The following is a 20511-nucleotide window of genomic DNA, read 5'->3' as shown; positions in this document are numbered from 1 at the left end:
CTTACAAAACTAAACATAGTCTTAACATACAATCCAGCAATTGTGTTATTTGCTATTTACCTAAATGTGTTAAAAACTATGACTGTATAAAAACCTTCACATGACTGTTTATAGCAACTTTATTCATACTGGCCAAAACTTGGAAATAACAAAGATAGCCTTCAATATGTGACTGGATAAACAAATTACAGTGCATCCATACAATGAGATATTATTCAACATTAAAAATAAACTCCTGAGCTAAAAACACATGGATGAAACTTAAAGGCACATTACTAAGTGAAAGAAGCCAATATGAAAAATTATACACTATGAGATTCCAATTGTATGACATTTTGTAAGAGGCAATACTATGGGCCGGACACGGTGGCTCATGCCTGTAATTCCAGCATTTTGGGAGGCCGAGGCGGGCGGATCACGAGTTCAGGAGTTGAGACCAGCCTGGCCAACCTGGTGAAACCACATCTCTATTAAAAATACAAAAATTAGCTGGGCGTGGTGGCGGGTGCCTGTAATCCCAGCTACTCCAGAGGCTGAGGCAGAGAATTGTTTGAACCCGGGAGGCAGAGGTTGCCGTAAGCCAAGATTACTCCATTGCACTCCAGCCTGGGCAACAGGGCGAGACTCCGTCTCAAAAAAAAAAAAAAAAAAAAAAGGCAATACTGTGGAGACAGATAAAAAGATCAGTGGGTGGAGGTTGGGAGTGGAAGGAAGAGAGAGAGAGGGATGAATCAATGGAGCACAGGGGATTTTTAGGGCAATGAAACTGTATGATACTCTAAGGAGGGCAAGTGTCTTAAACAGCTGTCAGTATCCATAGAATGTACAACACAAAGAATGAACTTTAATGTAAACTTTATTTAGCACTAATATATCAATATTAGCTCATTAATAAGAACACATGTACCGCAGTAATTCAAGATGCTAATAACTGGGGAAACTGTGGTGGGAGGTGGGGGAGAGAATATATGGGAACTCTCTTTCTGCCCAATTTTCCTGAAAACCTGCAACTGCTCTAAAAACTGAAGTCATTAATTAAAAAAATAGGACAGATAGGAGGTGATGCTCAGTTATTTGGAGAAACAAATCAATCTAATTTGATAGCCTTGGGTCTGAGGTCCTGCAAGATATGAAGATACTAGTATGGCACATAAATTAAACAGAGGAAAAAGTGACTCAGTAGGAAGGCCAACAAAACATTGGGCAAAACAGCGTCAAAATTGAGAACAGTTACCTACCCTGGTGGGAATTGAGGGACCACCCACATTCAAAGTACTGCCTGTGTCTGGCTGTTAAACCTCAGGAAAGACAGAAAAATGCTGGGGCTCAAACCCGAAGGATCCTTAAGAAGAACTAACTCTCTCCCTTTGCTGTTCACATTGGCTTCTAGCTTCAGCAGAACCGACTTTTTTTCCAGATCTTTTTCCTTCTGGATAACAGTCTAACATGCACCAAATTGGCCTTTTTACTCAGAAATATTTGAAATAAAAAATCAAAGCATGAAACAAAGCCCCTGTCCTAGAATGGATCCTCAGAGAAGAGTGTTCTTGAATATATATCTGCCTGCTTGTATCACATCATAATAATTATGCCCAATTTCCCCATACTGAAAGTTCTCTGAAATGTTAGATTTGGCCCCTGGTCACTGGCTTTCCCTTTATTTATTTAGGCTTTGCCTCCACCCAGCCAACATAGAGCTCCTATCTTACTGTTTTCCATTCGATATGACCCACAGCAGACCTAAAACACCACTCCAGCCTGATTGCTAAGACCTGTTCAGTAACCTGTCTCTTCAGCTTTGGATCAAACCACTGCACTCTTAAAAAATTTAATTTTCTTCATAATTAATATATTTGCATACTTCAAAATTAAAAGGAAATAAAAACATATACTGTGAGAAGTCTTGTTTCCACCTATTCCCCATCTATTCTTTCACTTTAAATTTTCTTGTTTATTTATGTATTTTTGAATCCATCCCCCTCAAGCATTTACTCTTTGAGTTATAAACAATCCAATTACATTCTTCAAGTTACTTTAAAATGTACAATTAAGTTATTATCGACTATAGTCTCCCTGTTGTGCTATCAAATAATAGGTCTATTTATTCTTTCTGTTTTTTTTTCCCATTGACCATCCCCACCTCTCCCTGCAACCCCTCAATCACCTTCCCAGCCACTGATAACCATTATAACTATGTGTATCTTTTTCTAAGTTGCCGAAGATTCTTTCTGGAGCATCGCATAATATAGCTATTAAAATTCTCACCATAGGTTTCCCTTGATTTCCCATACAATACTTTTAATATTTGATTGGATTTATTAATTCAATTGATATATAATGTTCCTTACTACTATTATGTAAGGTACAATTCCGAGTTACTGTAGGTTTTGAAAGCGTTTCATCTGAGAGCCTATAGGAAGTTATTATCCAAGAAGCTTTACATTTCTATTTTTCTATTGCATATTACAATTAACTTAGTTGTGATCTGCATTCATGATTTCCTACAGGCTTTGATATAATTAATAAAGAGTTTAATTCTACATGAACAACCTTGTAATCTTAATTGTCCATAGGGTAAGAAACTCATCAATTCATTTTATACGGGAACAAATTTTCACATCCCTCTGAAATTCCCAGTGGACAGTGGAACTATATAAACTCATATTATCCTAGTTTCCATATATTGAGTGCTTCCCTTTACAACAAAACTTGAAATAATTGTCTAAAATAAATAATTTCACTTTCATTCCTCTCATTCTTTCTTCAGTCTTTTCCATTTGGGCTCTGTCTCCACTATGTGACTAAGGATGGTCTTCTCTCAAAGACAGCAGTAATCCCATGCTGCCAAAACCAGTGGGATTGGGAGTTTTCATCTTACTAGACTTCTCAGCAGCACTTGGCAGCTGCCTCACTCTCTCTGAGACATTCTTTTTCTGACTTCCTGGACATTACCCTGATGGTTTTCCTCTTAACTGCTTTTCAGTGATATGTATTTATTCCCACTTTCTTCAAATTTAAATATTGGTATGCTCCAGGGATAGGGTCAGGGTTCTGATGTGATCTATCTATGCCTTCTCCTTAGGTAATTTTATCTAGTACTTAGCTTCTAAATAACTTCTATATGGTAATGTGAAAGTGAACTAAATGTGGCCTGAGGACTCTGTACTTCTATATTTGAATCCTTATGACTAACTGCAGCCTAGCTTCATAGGTAGACAAGACTGAAAACCTAACTTAGGAGTATGTGCCTATAACAATAACTGAGTCTTGGCCAATCCCGGCGGCTGTACCTCAACCATTCATACACTGCTGAGTGTTCAGACTATATTCAAATAAGGCAAATGCAACCTGTAACCAATCCAGCCATTCTGTACCTCACTTCCAATTTCTATACATCATTTCCCTTTTTTTGTCTATAAATCTTCTTCCACCATGAGGCTGCACAAACAACCCCATCAAAAAGTGGACAAAGGATATGAACAGACACTTCTCAAAAGAAGACATTTATGCAGCCAACAAACATGAAAAAAGTTCATCATCACTGGTCATTAGAGAAATGCAAATCAAAACCACAATGAGATACCATCTCACGCCTGTTAGAATGGTGATCATTAAAAAGTCAAGAAACAACAGATGCTGGAGAGGATGTGGAGAAATAGGAATGCTTTTACACTGTTGGTGGGAGTGCAATAGTTCAACCACTGTGGAAGGCAGTGTGGTGATTCCTCAAGGAGCTAGAACCAGAAATACGATTTGACCCAGCAATCCCATTACTGGGTATATACTCAAAGGATTAAAAATAATTCTACTATAAAGACACATGCACATGCATATGTCTTTATTGCAGTGCTTTATTGCAGCACACAGTGCTTTATTGCAGCACTGTTCACAATAGCAAAGACTTGGAACCAACCCAAATGTACATCAATGATAGACTGGATAAAGAAAATGTGGCCCTTATACACCATGGAATACTATGCAGCCATAAAAAAGGATGAGTTCGTGTCCTTCACAGGGATATGGATGAAGCTGGAAACCATCATTTTTAGCAAACTAACACAGGAACAGAAAACCAAACACTGCATGTTCTCACTCATAAGTGGGAGTTGAATAATGAGAACGCATGGACACATGGAGGGGAACACCGGAGCCTGCTGGGGGGTGGACTGTGGGAAGGATAGCATTAGGAGAAATACCTAATGTAAATGATGGGTTGATGGGTGCAGCAAGCCACCATGGTACATGTATACCTATGTAACAAACCTGCACATTCTGCACGTGTATCCCAGAACTTAAAGTATATATATATTTAAAAATATATGTATATAAAGAGTCTCTGTGAATCTGCTATGATTCTGAGGGCTGCCCGATTCGTGAATTTTTCATTGCTCAATTAAACTCCTTTAAGTTTAATTTGGCTGAAGTTTTTCTTTTATCAGTGAGGACACCCAAATCTGTATCTCCGGCCCTGAAATTTTCCCTGTATTCTATATTCATATATTGAACTGTCCATGTGATATCTTCACTTGCATATCTAATAGGTATCTTGAATCCAAAATATTCAAAACAGAACCTATGCTCCTCCCCCAGTTTTCTATCAACCAAGTTGTTGAAGTTAAAATTTGGGTGGTATCCATGTTCCTCTCTTTCCCTCACTCTCTGTTGATTTCACCTCTAAAGCATATCCTGAATCCATTCACTTCTCTTCCTCTACACTACATTCACCCTAGACCACTCACAATCATCTTCTGCCTAGAACACTGGGTTGTGTCACTTCATTGCTTAAAATCTGCCTGCACCTCCAATACCACTTAAATCAACTTTATTATCTTTTCCTTGGCTTACACCTCTCTACAGGATCTGGCCTGAAGAACTTCCTCTCTGAAACTCATCTCATACCATGCTCTCCATAACTATGCTACGTACATGCTCTCCTTCTTTCTCCAGCATACTCAGTATCTGCTCACCTTAGAGGCTTTGTGCTATTGCCTTTGTCTGTCTGGAATGCTCTCATCATAGATCTCAGCACGGCTTATGCCTTCTTATCAGACAGGACTTAGCTTAAATGTTACCTTATCAGAGTTACACCTAATGTGAAGTAGTTTCCTCACTTTCTAGCACAGGATACTGCCATTCTTCTCTTTCTGTTTTTTTTTTTTTTGCATATTTACTTATGTATTTATTTGTTTGCCATCTCAAGTTGGTTGAATATAATGCTTGTAGGAGCCGTGTGAACTTTGTTTTTCTTTTGCAACGTTATCTCCCAGCACATAGTGATGATTATAATTTGCCAGTCATTCTTCTAGGCAGCAGGAATGCAATGGTGAACACAAACAGGGGCTCTCTTGTTATTTAAAAATGAATTAGTATATTTAGATAACTTGTTATTCAGTTATTCATTCAAGAAATATTTATTAAGAGCTTACTATATTCCAAGCCTTGGGGATATGGCAGTGAACAACACAAAAAGTGCCCTTGACCTTCTGAAGTAGACATTCCAGAAAGAAAGAAGAAAAGGAAACAACACATAAAGAGATATGAAATACAATGAAGAGGATGAACTGTTTAGCTCTTCAAACTAAGAGTGAGAGGTGACAGCATGCTGGCAGCCCTCGCAGCCCTCGCTTGCTCTGGACGCCTCCTCAGCTTCGGGCGCCCATTCTGGCCGCGCTTGAGGAGCCCTTCAGCCCGCCGCTGCACTGTGGGAGCCCCTTCCTGGGATGGCCGAGGCCAAAGCCGGCTCCCTCAGCCTGCGGGGAGGTGTGGCGGGAGAGGCGCGGGCGAGAACCGGGGCTGCGCAGTGCTTGCGGGCCAGCAAGAGTTCCGGATGGGTGTGGGCTTGGTGGGCCCCACACTCGGAGTGGCCGGGCCGGCCCCGCCGGCCCCTGGCAGTGAGGGGCTTTGCACCCGGGCCAGCAGCTGCAGAGGGTGCGCCGGGTCCCCCAGCAGTGCGGGCAAACCGGCGCTGCGCTCAATTTCTCACCGGGCCTTAGATGCCTTCCGTGGGGCAGGGCTCGGGACCTGCAGCCCGCCATGCCTGAGCCTCCCCGCGTCCCCCCGCCGTGGGCTCCTGCGCTGGCTGCCAGAGACTCCCCGACGAGTGCCGCCCCCTTCTCCAAGGCGCCTGGTCCCATCTACCGCCCAAGGGCTGAGGAGTGCAGGCGCACGGCACGGGACTGGCAGGCAGCTCCACCTGCGGCTCCGGTGTGGGATCCACTGGGTGAAGCCAGCTGGGCTCCTGAGTCTAGTGGGGACTTGGAGAACCTTTATGGCTAGCTAAGGGAGTGTAAATACACCGATCAGCACTCTGTATCTAGCTCAAGGTTTGTAAACACACCAATCAGCACCCTGTGTCTAGCTCAGGGTTTATGGATACACCAATCAGCGCTCTGTGTCTAGCTGATCTGGGGGACTTGGAGAACCTTTATGTTTAGCTAAGGGATTGTAAATACATCAATCAGCACCCTGTGTCTAGTTCAAGGTTTATAAATGCACCAATCTGCGCTCTGTGTCTAGCTGATCTGGTGGGGACTTGGAGAACCTTTATGTCTAGTTAAGGGATTGTGAATGCACCAATCAGCACTCTGTGTCTAGCTCAGGGTTTGTAAATGCACCAATCAGTGCTCTGTGTCTAGCGAATCTAGTGGGGACTTGGAGAACTTTTGTGTGTAGCTCAAGGTTTGTAAATGCACCAATCAGCACCCTGTCAAAGCGGACCAATCAGCTCTCTGTAAAGTGGACCCATCAGCAGGATGTGGGTGGAGCCAGATAAGGGAACAAAAGCAGGCCGCCCCAGGAAGCTTTGTTATTTAGCTGTTTGCGATAAATCTTGATACTGTTCACTCTTTGGGTCCACACTGCCTTTATGAGCTGTAAGACTCACCATGAAGGTCTTCAGCTTCACTCCTGAAGCCATCGAGACCACGAACCCACCAGGAGGAATGAACAACTCCAGAGGCGCCGCCTTAAGAGCTGTAAAACTCATGGCGAAGGTCTGCAGCTTCACACCTGAGCCAGCAAGACCACGAACCCACCAGAGGGAAGAAACTCAGAACACATCCGAACATCAGAAGGAACAAACTCTGGACATGCCGCCTTTAAGAACTGTAACACTCACCGCGAGGGTCGGCGGCTTCATTCTTGAAGTCAGTGAGACCAAGAACCCACCAATTCTAGACACAAGAGGATTTGGTGGGGAAGACAGAGGAAATGGGAAGCCCCTAAGTTAGGAATACGCTTGGCAAGTCCAAGGAGCAGCAAGGTGTCCACTGTGGCTGCAGCAGCATGAGTAAGGGAGAGAACAGGGGAAAATGAGGTTGATGAGTCAGCCAAGGGCTCATCTTGTGTGGCTTTGGATTTTATTCTAATTGTGATGGGAATCCATTAGAGGGTTCAAAGGTAGGGAGTGACGTAATCTTTTACTGCACAGAGAATTGCTTTATGAACTATTTCCTTCTCAGAGAGCTCCTTAGGAGATTGGTTGAGAATACAGTGATTCTTGAGAAACTTGAAATTTCTGGCTGATACTTCTTATACATCAGGCTCTGTGCTGGTAGCAAGAAATTCTGGAACGTGTTCCCAGATTTGCACATTCCTTCTTGAGGGGTCTTGGCTAGGGCAGTCTTTCTGGCTTAACACTACTTATTCACGCTCATGTATTCAAGAAAGCATGAAGAGTGAGGAGGAAAGACAGCGGAGCACTTACAGGAATTCCCTGGCTCTCTGAAGCCTCAAGTAGAAATATGATATAAATAAATTAGCATGCAGAAAGAGTTTGGGCCTTTTCCATAATTAAGAAAAACGCTCCAAACCAGTAAGGACTCCTTTGGAATAGTTTCTGAGGGTTGAATGATTCGTGTACATAAAAGATCAATGTGACTCCGTGTAAAGCAAAACAATCTCTGGGCTTTGTTTGACCTAAAGGCACTTGAATAACCCTCAAGGCTAGCCTAATTAAAAAAATAAAAAAAAAATCTGACTTTCTCACATGTTTGGGCTTTGTGGGTGAGGCAATTTCTGAATCAACCAGGATATTAATAAGTAAATAATTACTAGGAGGGACTCTTTAATGCCTGATCATAAATGGAGAAACGAACCAAAAGAGAATTCTCAGAGGAATGGTGTATTCCATCCTTGAATTCCGGAAAGACTGCATTTGGATATTGTATGTTTAAAGACATGCACTTTTATTTGATATGATTAAAATTGGGATGGTCCATTCATCTGGGACAACAGTGGAGGAAAATGGAGTCAGGCCATTGCTCTCTCTTTTAGGGAACCATGGTTCAGGCATTCAGCCACAGGTTTCCTGGGATATCCATATCTTCCATTTTCTTCTCACATTAAGGGCAAATCAGGTCTTCCAAGTACTCAAGAAAAACCTAAAATATCCCTCTTTGTGGCTACAGAGAAATTCCTTCAAACCAGAGATTGAGTTATTTTCTACCTGAGCTTATTTGGGATATTTTGTTGCTTCTTACAAAGGTGTGAAATGGAGGTTTGGGATTTCCTCATAAATGACCTCTTAACAATGATTTCCTGTTATTTTATTTTTCCTTGGGAACTAGGATAGCCATGCAATACATACCCACTGTGTGAGACTGAATAAATGTTTGTAATTCGGAATTAGTCACTTGTGAGATCCTAATTAGCATTTTGAGTAAAGTGTCTATTTCTGACCAGTCATGGGACAAGGCTGTGTTAAATTCAGTGTAATATTTTGTTGGCTCCTGCAGTTTGAGAAGCTGGTGTCTCATACAAGTGTTTAATATCGCCACCCTAGTCTATTTTTTTTTCTTCTGTATTGGTGGGTTCCACTCACCTTCCTACCTCTTAACCACTGTTAGGTAGTGTTAAGCCAGATTAGAACCTAATCATGTTTAATAGTTAATGTGTACCTTGTGAACTTGGCAAACAAAGAACTGATTCAGAGAGAACTCAGAGAAAAGCAGGCCAGCATTTAAACTTTAAACCCAAAAAGCAAACAACCAGGCAAATAATAAAGCACAAAAATAGGCTGTTCAATGATCCTGACGTGGTTGATTACAAAGCCCTGCTTTGTATTCTCCGTTTTCTTGTTGAGTATTGCAGCCTGTGCATTGGCACGAGTCCTGGTTTAGAGAGAAGAAAAATAAGATCGACTTCTGACAAATCAACTAGTAAAATCTATAGGCATGAACCAAGTGATCAATTTTGTGTGAGTGAAGAATTTTAGAAGTATCTAAAATGCAATTAAAATGTGACCTTGGAAGCAGGACTGAATTGTATTTACAGTCTGGCAAATGGAAACCTAGTCAGTTATCATGGACTCTTATCTGGAGATAGATGTGGCCACAGAGGGGGCAGGGACTGAATGGAGTACAGAGAAGGCAACCTCAAGAAGAACGAATTTGGTGGTGTATCACAGCAATTGTAGGGAGAGGATGCTAAGACCACTGAACTCCTCTGGAAGGTTTGACTGTTGGATCCCTGGGGTGGTTCTAGACTTGTCAGCGTATCATATCTTGGCAACACTGACCCCTTTGCCAAATGTATGCCCCAAGACACCATCTGTGTATGGCTCTGGCTTCTGTGCTGTTTTTTTTTTTTTTTCAGGGAGAGAGTTTTCTGATCAGCTACTGTCTTATGCTGGATGGATAGTCTGATGGGTGCATTTCTCATGATAAAGTAGGAAATTGACATTCTGGCTCCTGTGAGAGCTTTTAAGGTGAATCTTTCCCAAGAAGCAGATCACCCCTGGAAAAGCTGGCAAAGTGGAGCTTCAGGGCTGCCAAGCCAAGGACCTGACCCTGGTTCCCACCCAGCAGCTGGTCTCTTAACCTGCTGTAAAAGGAGTATAAATGCCATAGTGAGGCTTAATAAGAATCCACAGCATCTCTAATCTGCCATGGTTATAAACTGCATTTTTAATCACTGCACCATTTTGCCTCAATTTTCCTTATACACACATATTTTGGTGAGCTAAAGTCTGTTTCTTTCATACACATTTCCATATTTTTCCTTATGTGTCCTATATGGTAAATTTATGTCCAGGTGCAAGTCATTAATATTTTAGAATAAAGTATCTATAGAAGAGGAAGAATGTTGAATACTGGGTATCCATTTTCTGTAAACACTGTATTGCTACTTCACAATGACAATTCTAACCCCTACTTTAGTTCTGAGCTGGAATTAATACTCTCAAGTAGAGACAGTTGCTTTAAAATGTCCTGCAAAGAGAGGAGAGGCATCTTTCCCATACCGGATGCTTCCTATCTGGTGCATTTCCAGTGGGAATACATGAAAGGTTTTTATGAGCCAGGCTCCATAAGCACAGAGGGTAGGAAACAGAGCATTGGGATCACATGAAAGCAGAAGAAGAATATTGGTCTCAGGAAGGCTAGAATGGGACTAGAACACAAGAGCCAAGGCTCTGCTCCTGTAAAAGAGACCATAAAACCCCTAAGTGAGAACTCCAACTTTCCAAAAATAAAAAAGGTTTTTCAAAATGAGACATGCTAAAAGCACCAGAATCTCTTCACTCAAATTGTTCAGAGTGTATGATCTCATGTCCTTACATACACACCCCTCAGTACAGTCATAAGGAAGAGAAATCTCAACATTATGTTTTTATTGCTGCTGTTAGCCTTTGAGAACATGAATTGATTATTAACAACGTCATGAAAAACAAATAGTATAGAGGGACAGTGATAATGGGAGAGTATAAAAGACAAGAGAAAAAAATAATCTTTTCTCTACCACACATGAATTGCTTTTTTACTGTCTATTCCATGGACAAATATATCGGGTAACGAGATGTTGGAAACAAAAAGGCAAAGAAGTTACCTTTTCACCATGGTGTAAGGCCTAGGAAGGCAGGGATTTTTATCTTGTTTCATAAATTACTATGTTTCCAGCACTTAGTCTCATTCCTGGAATATGGTAAGGATTCAATACATCAGTTGAATAAATTTTTGAATATTATCTTATGGAGGAGAAGATGATATCATGATGAAAATATGAACTATCTATGCTTAATTTCTGGTCCAAGTCCCAAACGTAGGCCTGGTTTGCCTGATGACTTAGAGAAAATGCCATATTTTCTGTGGGGTATTTGATGGTACTACTCATGCACTTTCCTCTGCCCTGAGCATAAGGAATCTCTCTCTCTCTTTCTTTCCCCTGCATGGGTTCCCATACTGCTATCAAAATCTAGTTCACTGATGACTGCCTCATGGAGACTTTTCACAATTAATCAAATTGGAATCATTATCCTGCCTTACTCTGTGCATTTGCTGCAATGAATAGTAATTGGCATGATGGCAACATTAGAAAAACTTTATCTAAATTTACTTAGACTTTCCCTCTGTTCTTTCCCTCGATTGTCATTTCTTCTTATAATATTTCACTCTCCATTTCTTTCCTTACTGGCCCGGTCTTTCACAGGGTCTAAGATTTATTACTGACAATCTCCAACCCCTGCAACCTCCCACCACTGTTAAAATATCTGTTATATGAAAATTTCTCAATATCTAAGACACGTTAAATGAGTAATGAGTAAATGACTCATTCTCATACTACAGAACTCAAGAGATTGTTGACGCCAGTAGACAGAATACTGATCTGATAATCCTGTGACCTTGTTTCTAGAAGGAGATCTAACCAGTTTTGTGAACTTGGGCTACTCAATCTGCCTATGCTGCTCTTTTCTCAGGTGTAAGAGTGAGAGTTTGTCTAGAACAGTGCTTCTGTAAGTGCGTATGTGTGTTCTGTAACACCAGTCCTGAATATGTCATTCAAAAATATGTTCTGAGATTATATTCATTTCAGAATTGCTATATATCACCTCCTTGAATATTAGAAAGTTGAAGGCTCTGACAAGTCCTGAAATTAATAAACTGTTTTTCTTGACCTAATAGATTTTTTAAAGGCAGAGGTAGCATATTGGTAGTTCCCTAGAGAACCTAATGAGGAAATCACTAGTTGAACTTTCTGAGGAGCTTGGCTGCCATTGCAAATCTCTGTAGCTCTAATGCCAGCTACTGTAGGTACAGAGGTGAATAGGGTAAGATTTCTGCTTTTCAGGCATATAGAATCAAATGTGGGGGAGAGACACAAATAAATGTGATATAGTGGCAATTGTAGATTTAAGGTCTGTTCAAATAATAATGGACTTGAGGACTGAGAAGCAAGTAAATCTGCCCAGAGTGGGGGCAGAGGATGAGGAAGGGAAGGCTCCACAGGGATGTTGCAATAGAGAAGGTGGGAAAGGATATTCCAGGCAGAAGGAACAAGGCATAAAATCCAAAGGTGTGTTCTAGGCCTGGGAAATAATTCTGTGGTTATGGAGCCTAGAAGTGGAGGCTGCCTAGGAAGAAAGGGGAGGGACAAAATTCTGGAAAGTGGGTGGAGGACTTGTTTGCTGTGTGCTGTAAATGCTACTTTAAGGAATCTGAACTTTATCTTGTAGGTAAAAGGAAAATATCCTTAGATTGGGTTTTCATCATTATCATTACCTAATCAATAAGTATTTCTCAAAAAGAATTTTAAAGTGCTAAGGCAGAGAGGAACTGGGAGAAACTGCCAGGGAAATTAATTCTCATTCTATTGACACAGCTCAAGTAAGAAATGATAAAGGACTGAATAATGAAATGCAAAAGGATGAGATGGAAGAAATAGTTTTGACAGTAATTTAGGAGCTACACAGACCAGTAAGAGTGATTGGATGGAAAGAAAGAGAAATACAAAATATCTGTACAAATTCAGCCTGGGAGAGTGTTGTGTGATTATAACATTAATAGGAATAGGAATTTCCAGGAGTGAACTGTTTCATATAGGTTTTGAATTAGACTAGGGGTTCTATTACACAGTCATTCTCCTGTACAAACACATCCATTGATTTTTGTGTTACAGAGTTCAAGAGTGATTCAACTAAAGACTACACAGTATTCTTTTTAAGGATGTTCAGCATCCACCAAAATATCTATTTCAAACTAAAATTTGGTAGTATTCAATACATTCTTTTCAACAAAGCAGCATTTAAATCTGTAATTTTTTTTTAATTTTAGCCTCTGATAAATAATCATTTCTGGGACTATGAATCAATTTTGGTTTTCATTCAATCTGAAATTATTCTTTCAGCCTTGGATTATTCTATATACAAAATATCTCAATAGAAGGTTGTGAAACTATCCATTTTCTAGTAGGAAAGAGAACACAAACAATTTTAGTGATGATTTATATATTAAGCCATTATTTTTGGAATTAATCCTAAATTTGGCCTTTAACGCTATATATTATTGTTGATAATGCATTAAAATATATTGTATTTGTAGTCAGGGAGTAGAATTGTTTCAAAAACATTGTATGCCAGTGAAAATTAGAAATAATATTTTTCTTTTGTAAGGAGTTCATGCTTGCTTATCGTGTAAAACTTAGCAAAGATTCTAAAGAATAATTTTCTCAACAACCTTTTAAAGTAGAGGGTTCTTTTATTTAGGGGGAGAAGAACTCCCTTTGAGAGGCAGGATGTGGAAACTAACATGACCCAGGCTGTTTACACAAAGCAGTCCACACCTCCCTGATGATGTCGGAGCATTTTGCCTTTACCTGAGACAGCTGCCTTCTATTAGCACTAGAAACAAATAGTAAAATCTATGGTCACTGATCCATGACCACCTTCCCATTTTGAATTTTTTTGTCCGGGAGGACCTGGAATCCAGAAACTGAGTTGGTGGAGAACAGCTGTTGCTAGATACAATTTATCAGAGGAAGGAAATTACAGTGTCCACCTTAAAAACAAACCAAGCTATCAGAATGACTACGCATTATAAAATGAAAACAATGTTGCAGTCAGTGCCACTTTATGATTTCTTTCCCTTTGTATCATAAAGAAATAAAGATAAAAAGCAAATGGTCTTATCATGATAGGCAAGGCTGCCTCTCCCTCTGCAATTTCTGTGGTGTATTTACGGCAGCTCTGGAATTCTTTTGAAATAAATTTAGATGTTTTGGAGGGCAGATACATGTAATGGTTATTTTACTATTCTAGGTTTAATGATAACAGGTTGCTATGTCTAAGCTTTGATATTTTGCAGATTTCTAAATGCATTTTATTGCATTTAGAAGGAATTTTGTAGTATTGAGAAAATGCAATGCAAAAATGAGTAGAGATACAATGTCCATTTAACTCAGAACAAAACAACCTTATTTCCCCATAGTTGAAATGGAGGGCGGGGAAGTCAGGCAGTGGTTTCTGAAAGCCAAGAACTTAGTAGCACTGTGCCATTCTCTTGCCTGATCCAGTGCCATTCCCTTCACTTGATATCTGTTTACTTTAGAGGAGGCAGTTTTTGAGAAAGGATCATAAATATCCTGGCCCAGTGCCCCAGGAGCTATGACAAGCAAAGGAACATACTTGCCTGGAGATAGCCTTTGCGATATTTAAATGTGTGAGTTAATAGCCTTTGAGATATTTAAATGTGTGGGTTAATAGCCTTTGCGATATTTAAATGTGTGGGTTAATTTTTTTATCCAGTTTAATAACTTTTTATTCCTCCCTCTACTTCTTTGCTTTCTCTTTCTGCTCTGAAGCCGTGGATACAGAAATCTCTGCAGGCAAGTTGCTCCAGAGCATATTGCAGGACAAGCCTGTAACGAATAGTTAAATTCACGGCATCTGGATTCCTAATCCTTTTCCGAAATGGCAGGTGTGAGTGCCTGTATAAAATATTCTATGTTTACCTTCAACTTCTTGTTCTGGGTAAGTGTTTTCCTTTTAATTATCAATTTTATGCAAGAAAGGGGATCTTGATATAAATATCATAAACAAGAACAGACTGTACACTAGAGAAATAAGAGAAGGGGGAAAATGTATTTTCCATGTACTTGTTTGGATTTGTTTGTTCTTTCTTTGGTTATTTCAGTAATTGAAAATGAGCCAAGGACTCAAAAAAGTGCACTTCAGAATGTGAGGATAAACATTTCATAAATGTTTTCATATTGCTGCAAAAAAAAATCACAGAGGAACACAAATGCCCCTTAATTAAAGGACAATTTTCCTTAGTTGTATATCAAGCAGGCCTCCCTAATTTAAGGACTCTGTGGTAAAAACATGGTCTGATTCCATCCGGAGCCCGGGTCCTGATTCCCGCCCTTCACTTCTGGGTTTGAACAGGTGAATCGCAGGGTGTGGGACAATAAAGATCATTTTCAGAGCCTCAAAGACAAAAAAAATGGGTCATGAAAAACTTGAGGGGGAAATGATAAAATTCCTAAATCATAAGAAAATCAAACTAAGACCGTGGATATATATATGTATTGGCATTTTAAAGTCAGTATTTTGATGTGTCATCACCCTACCTTTTAATTGACAGGATTTGTATTTTAGCAATTTGTTATGTTTCTCTTGAAAGTCCATTGACATAGACATAACCAACAAATTGATAACTGATATCTATCAATAGATAATGGAAAAACAAGGTATGAAAAGAGCAGGCTGGGATGTTGGGACATTGACCTTATCATTTTTAGCATATATGGTACAATTAAAGATTGTTTAAATGTCAATCAGTGGAAATAGCACAAAGTATTTAAATGAAAAAAGTATTTTGTATACTGGATTAAAAGCTACCTTATCCACTCCAAGGATGAAAGAACTCTGGTTTTGTTTTTGTACCTGATCTTTAGTAAACAGACATCTCATACCTATGTGTTGCTATATTTCTGTTCTATTAAAATAATGATGAACTTAATTAAACTTAACTACATGAATACAGCTTTATTGTATAGACTGATTTTCCATTCAATGATCAGTAGTGCTAATGAGTACAAATGGATATATTGGTGACTTTTAAATAAGTAAGTAAATATTTAAAAAAGTAAAATAAAGAAGGCAAAAAAAATGGGCTGCTGTTTTTAGGTTAAAAAAATGGGCTGCTTTTGCAAATATTTAATGTAGCTCATGCTACATATATGCCAGTTTTTTAGTTAGTTCTGATACATTTCTTCCCTTGAGATACTTAAATTGATTAAACATTGGGAGCAGGTTATACAAAAAAAGAAAGACCTGTATTCTTTGGTTTTGTTTTGTTTCTAGTTTTTTTTTTGTTTGTTTTTTTTTTTTTTTTTTGGAGAACTTTGAATATTCACTAAAGAAGATAGGATAGGTAATCAACTCCATTGGCCAGCCCAGGTGGCCACAGAAAGATGGCCAATCTTTCTCCATTTTTACTGTATTCACTTCCCCCACCCCATATTATTTTGAAGCACATCTCAGATATATAATTTTGTCTGTAAGCATTTTAGTATATATCTCTGAAACATAATAATTCTTGAAAAAATGTAACCACAACCAGGCGCAGTGGCTCACGCCTGTAATCCCAGCACTTTGGGAGACCGAGATGGGTGGATCACAAGGTCAGGAGTTTGAGACCAGCCTGGCCAGCATGGTGAAACCCTGCCTCTACTAAAAATATGAAAAATTAGCCGGGCATGGTGGCACGCCCCTGTAGTCCCAGCTACTTGGGAGGCTGAGGCAGGAGAATTGCTTGAACCTGGCAGGGGGAGGTTGCAGTGAGCCGAGCTCGCACCACTGCACTCCAGCCTGGGCGACAGAGTGAGATTCCATCTCAGAAAAAAAAAAATGTTACCACAATATCATTATTACACTTTAAAAATTTAATAAGAATTTTTTAAATCAATTGTCAAATTGATTTGACAATTTTAATCAAACTGTCAAATTTGAGCCCATTCAGGGCTGAAATTTCCGATTACCTCATAAATGTTCCTGTTAGAATCAGGATCTAAATAAGGTCCACACTGTGTGGTTGGTTAATATATGTTTCATGTCTATTTTAATCTGTTGATTCTCCCTCAGTCAACATCTCTTTTTCTCCCTACTGAAATTTTATGCACTGGTGTGTGTTGTTTGTTTTATCACATTGCCCACAGTCTGGATTTTGCTGTTTGCATACCTGTGGTGCAGCCTGATACAATTCAAGGTCCTTTTTTTTTCACACGACAATCATAAGTGATTTTGTATTCTTTCATGAGGAGGCACTGGAGGTTTGATTGTGTCCCTCTTTTGTGACGTTCGTAGCCATTGATGGTCAAGTGCCAAAATCCATCATTAGTTCATTAAGTGGTTCAAAGTGATGATATTCTAGTTTCATCAACTTTTCTTTCTTTATTAGCTGGAACACTTTCTATAAGGAGAAACTTCTCATTTACTGTTTAATTACCTGGGTATCCCATTTTTAATATTTTTTAAGTGGCATAAAATACTTCTTTCTCACTCTTTACTTACCAGATTGCAAGTGATGAGTTAAGTTACTAATATTATCCAACAGTGATAAGTTAGTATTTCTTTAAGTATCCTTATGAAACAATAGATCAGCTCCATTACAATGTTTACCCTTATTAATGTGCAATTTGTTCCATCTCTGGCCATCAGGAGCTTCTTCAAGGTGACTCAAGTTCTTTTGAAATGATCCTAATAACTTTGATAGCCTCTTTAGTATTTGGTTTGACATGTTCCAGATCACTTGCTTATTTCCTGTCCAGACCTCGAATCAGCCATTTCTCCACCAAGTTCTGATATCTGTCTTTAAAGAGCTATAGTCATTGTTTTCCTTATGTAATACAGAATATATATGGCACATTTAAACAAACCAAAATATTAATATGCTAATAAATGCAAGGCTCCTATTTTATTAAAGATGTTCCAAAGCACTGAAACCAGTAGCAATCTTCAAATAATGAAACAGTTAAAATATATCTTTGTTGTATTAAAACATCCTGGAAAGTGCTAATAGCTATTATGAAGACATCAGAGGTCAGTGTTTCATTAAACAGCTAATCAGAAATTTGGAATAGATCTAAATTATCAAAATAATAGTCTAGGAAGGGGTAGGTTATAGATTCAGGATTATTTACCTACCTACCTTGATAGGGTTCAGGGTAGATTGTAGAGGTCTGTACCATGCCACACCCAGATATTATCATTGCTTTCCTGGCGAGCTCTGATTATTATTATTATTATTATTATTATTATTATTATTATTATTATTTTGAGACAGAGTCTCGCTCTGTTGCCCAGGCTGGAATACAGCGGCATGATCTCGGGTCACTGCAGCCTCTGCTTCCCAGGTTCTAGCGATTCTCCTGCCTCAGCCTCCCGAGTAGCTGGGATTACAGGCACGCACCACCATGCCCAGCTAACTTTTTGTATTTTTAGTGGAGACAGGGTTTTGCCATGTTGGCCAGGCTGGTCTCAAACTCCTGACCTCAGGTGATCCATCTACTTCTGCCTCCTAAAGTGCTGGGATTACAGGGATGAGGCACCGCGCCTGGCCAGAGCTCTGATTATTTTATGGTTACATTATCTGTTTGTTTCTTTGATAACAGAGACAAGTCTTTCTGATGCTGTAGTTTTCAGTTAGATCTTTCTAACTAACGTGCCTTGGTGATTCCTACCACCAGCATATGTGGTCGGATTTACAATCTCTACATAAGAGATTTTGAAATGGAGTCTTTCAGTGAGAGCAACAATTATAAAAACCAGTGATAACTTCTTAGCCAAGAGGTGACATCAATATTTTAAATTCAAATATAGGCAGCAGGAGGAATCTCTGAGGTTAGGAAAGGTTCCTATATCTACTCTCCCGTCTATGCTCAGCTCTGAGCTCTCAGTTGGAATTTTACAATCCTTCATAGGAAATTAGCAATTTGTCACATTCCTAATGTTTACTTAAGTAAAAATTTTAATGACCCCACTGATGTGGTTTTCTTATAGATGCCCAGGGCCTTATGTTTTCAAATGCATTCTTTCTGGTATAACTTGCAAAACTGAGCCTTTGCAAAGTAGAGCCGATGTTAAAATATCTCTTAGATATGCATGTGGTCATTTAATCTAAACAGACCAGGTTCTTTTGGGGGACAACTTGAGATATGCCCCATAAGTATATGGTGATTTCCATTTGTTAGAATCACTAATTGAAGAAAAACATGTAAAAGTGAAAGTTATTCCTGATCACTCATGCTAGAGTTTGATGCAAGTTAGAGAACTGGAGGTGCTGCAGATAATAGATAAATTATAGGTACGAAACCTATTTCCCTAGTCTTGTTTCAAAAATAGATGAAATGCCCCAATTTTTTAATGCTCCTCTCAGATAGTTCAAGCCTAGGAATATCGTAGATGCTTATGGTGCTTTAGGGGTCTGAGTAAGTATGAAACATGGGGCCTTTGGCTCGTGGATGCAGTAGAATAATGACCAGAGACAGAGAGCTATAGAGAGGCCAGTTCTTAATGAGGGAAAGAAGAATGAGGTACACTATCAATCCCAAATGAGTCATAGGGAGGAGCCAAATTGTAAAGCTGAATGTATTAGTAACTGAAGGAAGCCAGTGCATGACGAGGTTTGAAGAGCGCAGAAAGAAGTCTGAACTTGGAGAGAGTCCAGGATCCAGCATTTCGATATTCATCATTGTATTTTATTGAGATTGGATGTGCTGAGAGCAATTAAAAGATTGGAGGCAAAGCAGACATAACCCTGAGATGGTGGTACACTAAAAGGAATAGGACACAATTATATCTTATTGTGTCCGTTGATGGAATCTTTCAAAATGAAGACCTAACAATGGCTGAAGTGTATGAATTTTGTAAATACAGTGGTTGCCTGACCCTATGTAATTAGCATGGAGCTAAAACAGCACCAAAAGGCATTAGAGTCCACTGGTTGATAGAGCAGGATAAACATCAGCTCCTTCATCAGTAGCTGTGCTTCTTTGGGGAAATTGGTTAACCTCTCTGTGCTTTATTTGTCCTCATCTGTAAAAATGGGGATAGTAGTAGTATCTACCTCATGGGTTTGTGGTGATGATTAAATAAGTTAATATATATAAAGAAGTAGGAATTAACTAGATAAATGTTTAAGAAAAAGACATTTCAACCAGTATTTTATAGGTGTTTTTATGAAGCAGAAATATGTAACTATTTGGCATAGTGATGAATAAATTTAAATGTTGAGTTTTAAAACGAAGAGGAAATAAGATAGCAAGAATATGATAAGGCAGAAATTCTTCTATCATGAATTAAGGGAATGGGGAAAAAGTGGATTTTGTAAACAGACTGACTGAGATTTCAATCCTGAATCTACCCCTTCTTGTTCTGGAACATGTCCCTTGGCTTTTGCATGCTCCAGTCTTTGGATTTGTAAAATAAAAATGATCACTTTACCTGGCAGGATTAATTTGAAACATTAACTAAGCTATTTTATGAAAACCTGTAACCAAGGACTGACCATCAATAATAGCACAATTAACATGTTTTTCCTGATTCCAAACATCGTAATTGCTTTTTCATTTACAACTATTAGAATATACTGTGACAGTATTTTATACATAATGGGCTTTCAAATGGTAAATATAATTTTAGCCCTACTCTGATCCTCTTCTCATCTCACAGGGTGAGGCATATGCAGGAGTAGAGGGATATGTCAGCCCCAAGGCTGGCTTCCACTTTGAATATAGGAC

General features: G+C 39.2%; 1 protein-coding gene across 2 annotated transcripts in view, besides 1 other annotated feature; it reads left to right on the top strand.

Moving 5' to 3' along the window:
- Positions 6183-7382: an enhancer, noted in NCBI's record as "MED14-independent group 3 enhancer chr12:71558757-71559956 (GRCh37/hg19 assembly coordinates)". NCBI's record gives its function as "activates an origin of replication core promoter dependent on BRD2, BRD4, P300/CBP and CDK7 cofactors, and independent of MED14, by STARR-seq in HCT116 cells {active_cell/tissue: HCT116}" and the evidence as "EXISTENCE:reporter gene assay evidence [ECO:0000049][PMID:35650434]".
- TSPAN8 (tetraspanin 8) overlaps positions 14360-20511 on the top strand; it is a 32904-nt gene continuing 26752 nt past the window's right edge. The window contains exons 1-2 of one of the 2 annotated variants that reach the window (NM_004616.3): positions 14360-14429; positions 14572-14740. In NM_004616.3, coding sequence (NP_004607.1) covers positions 14681-14740 — 60 coding nt within the window. In that variant the 5' untranslated portion in view covers positions 14360-14429; positions 14572-14680. Of the gene's footprint in view, positions 14430-14549; positions 14741-20511 lie in introns of those variants that run through there. The other variant, NM_001369760.1, reaches the window with a different exon arrangement.

This window comes from Homo sapiens, chromosome 12 (genome assembly GCF_000001405.40).
Source record: "Homo sapiens chromosome 12, GRCh38.p14 Primary Assembly".
Lineage (NCBI taxonomy): Eukaryota > Metazoa > Chordata > Mammalia > Primates > Hominidae > Homo > Homo sapiens.
This window is presented reverse-complemented; position numbering and strand designations above follow the sequence as displayed.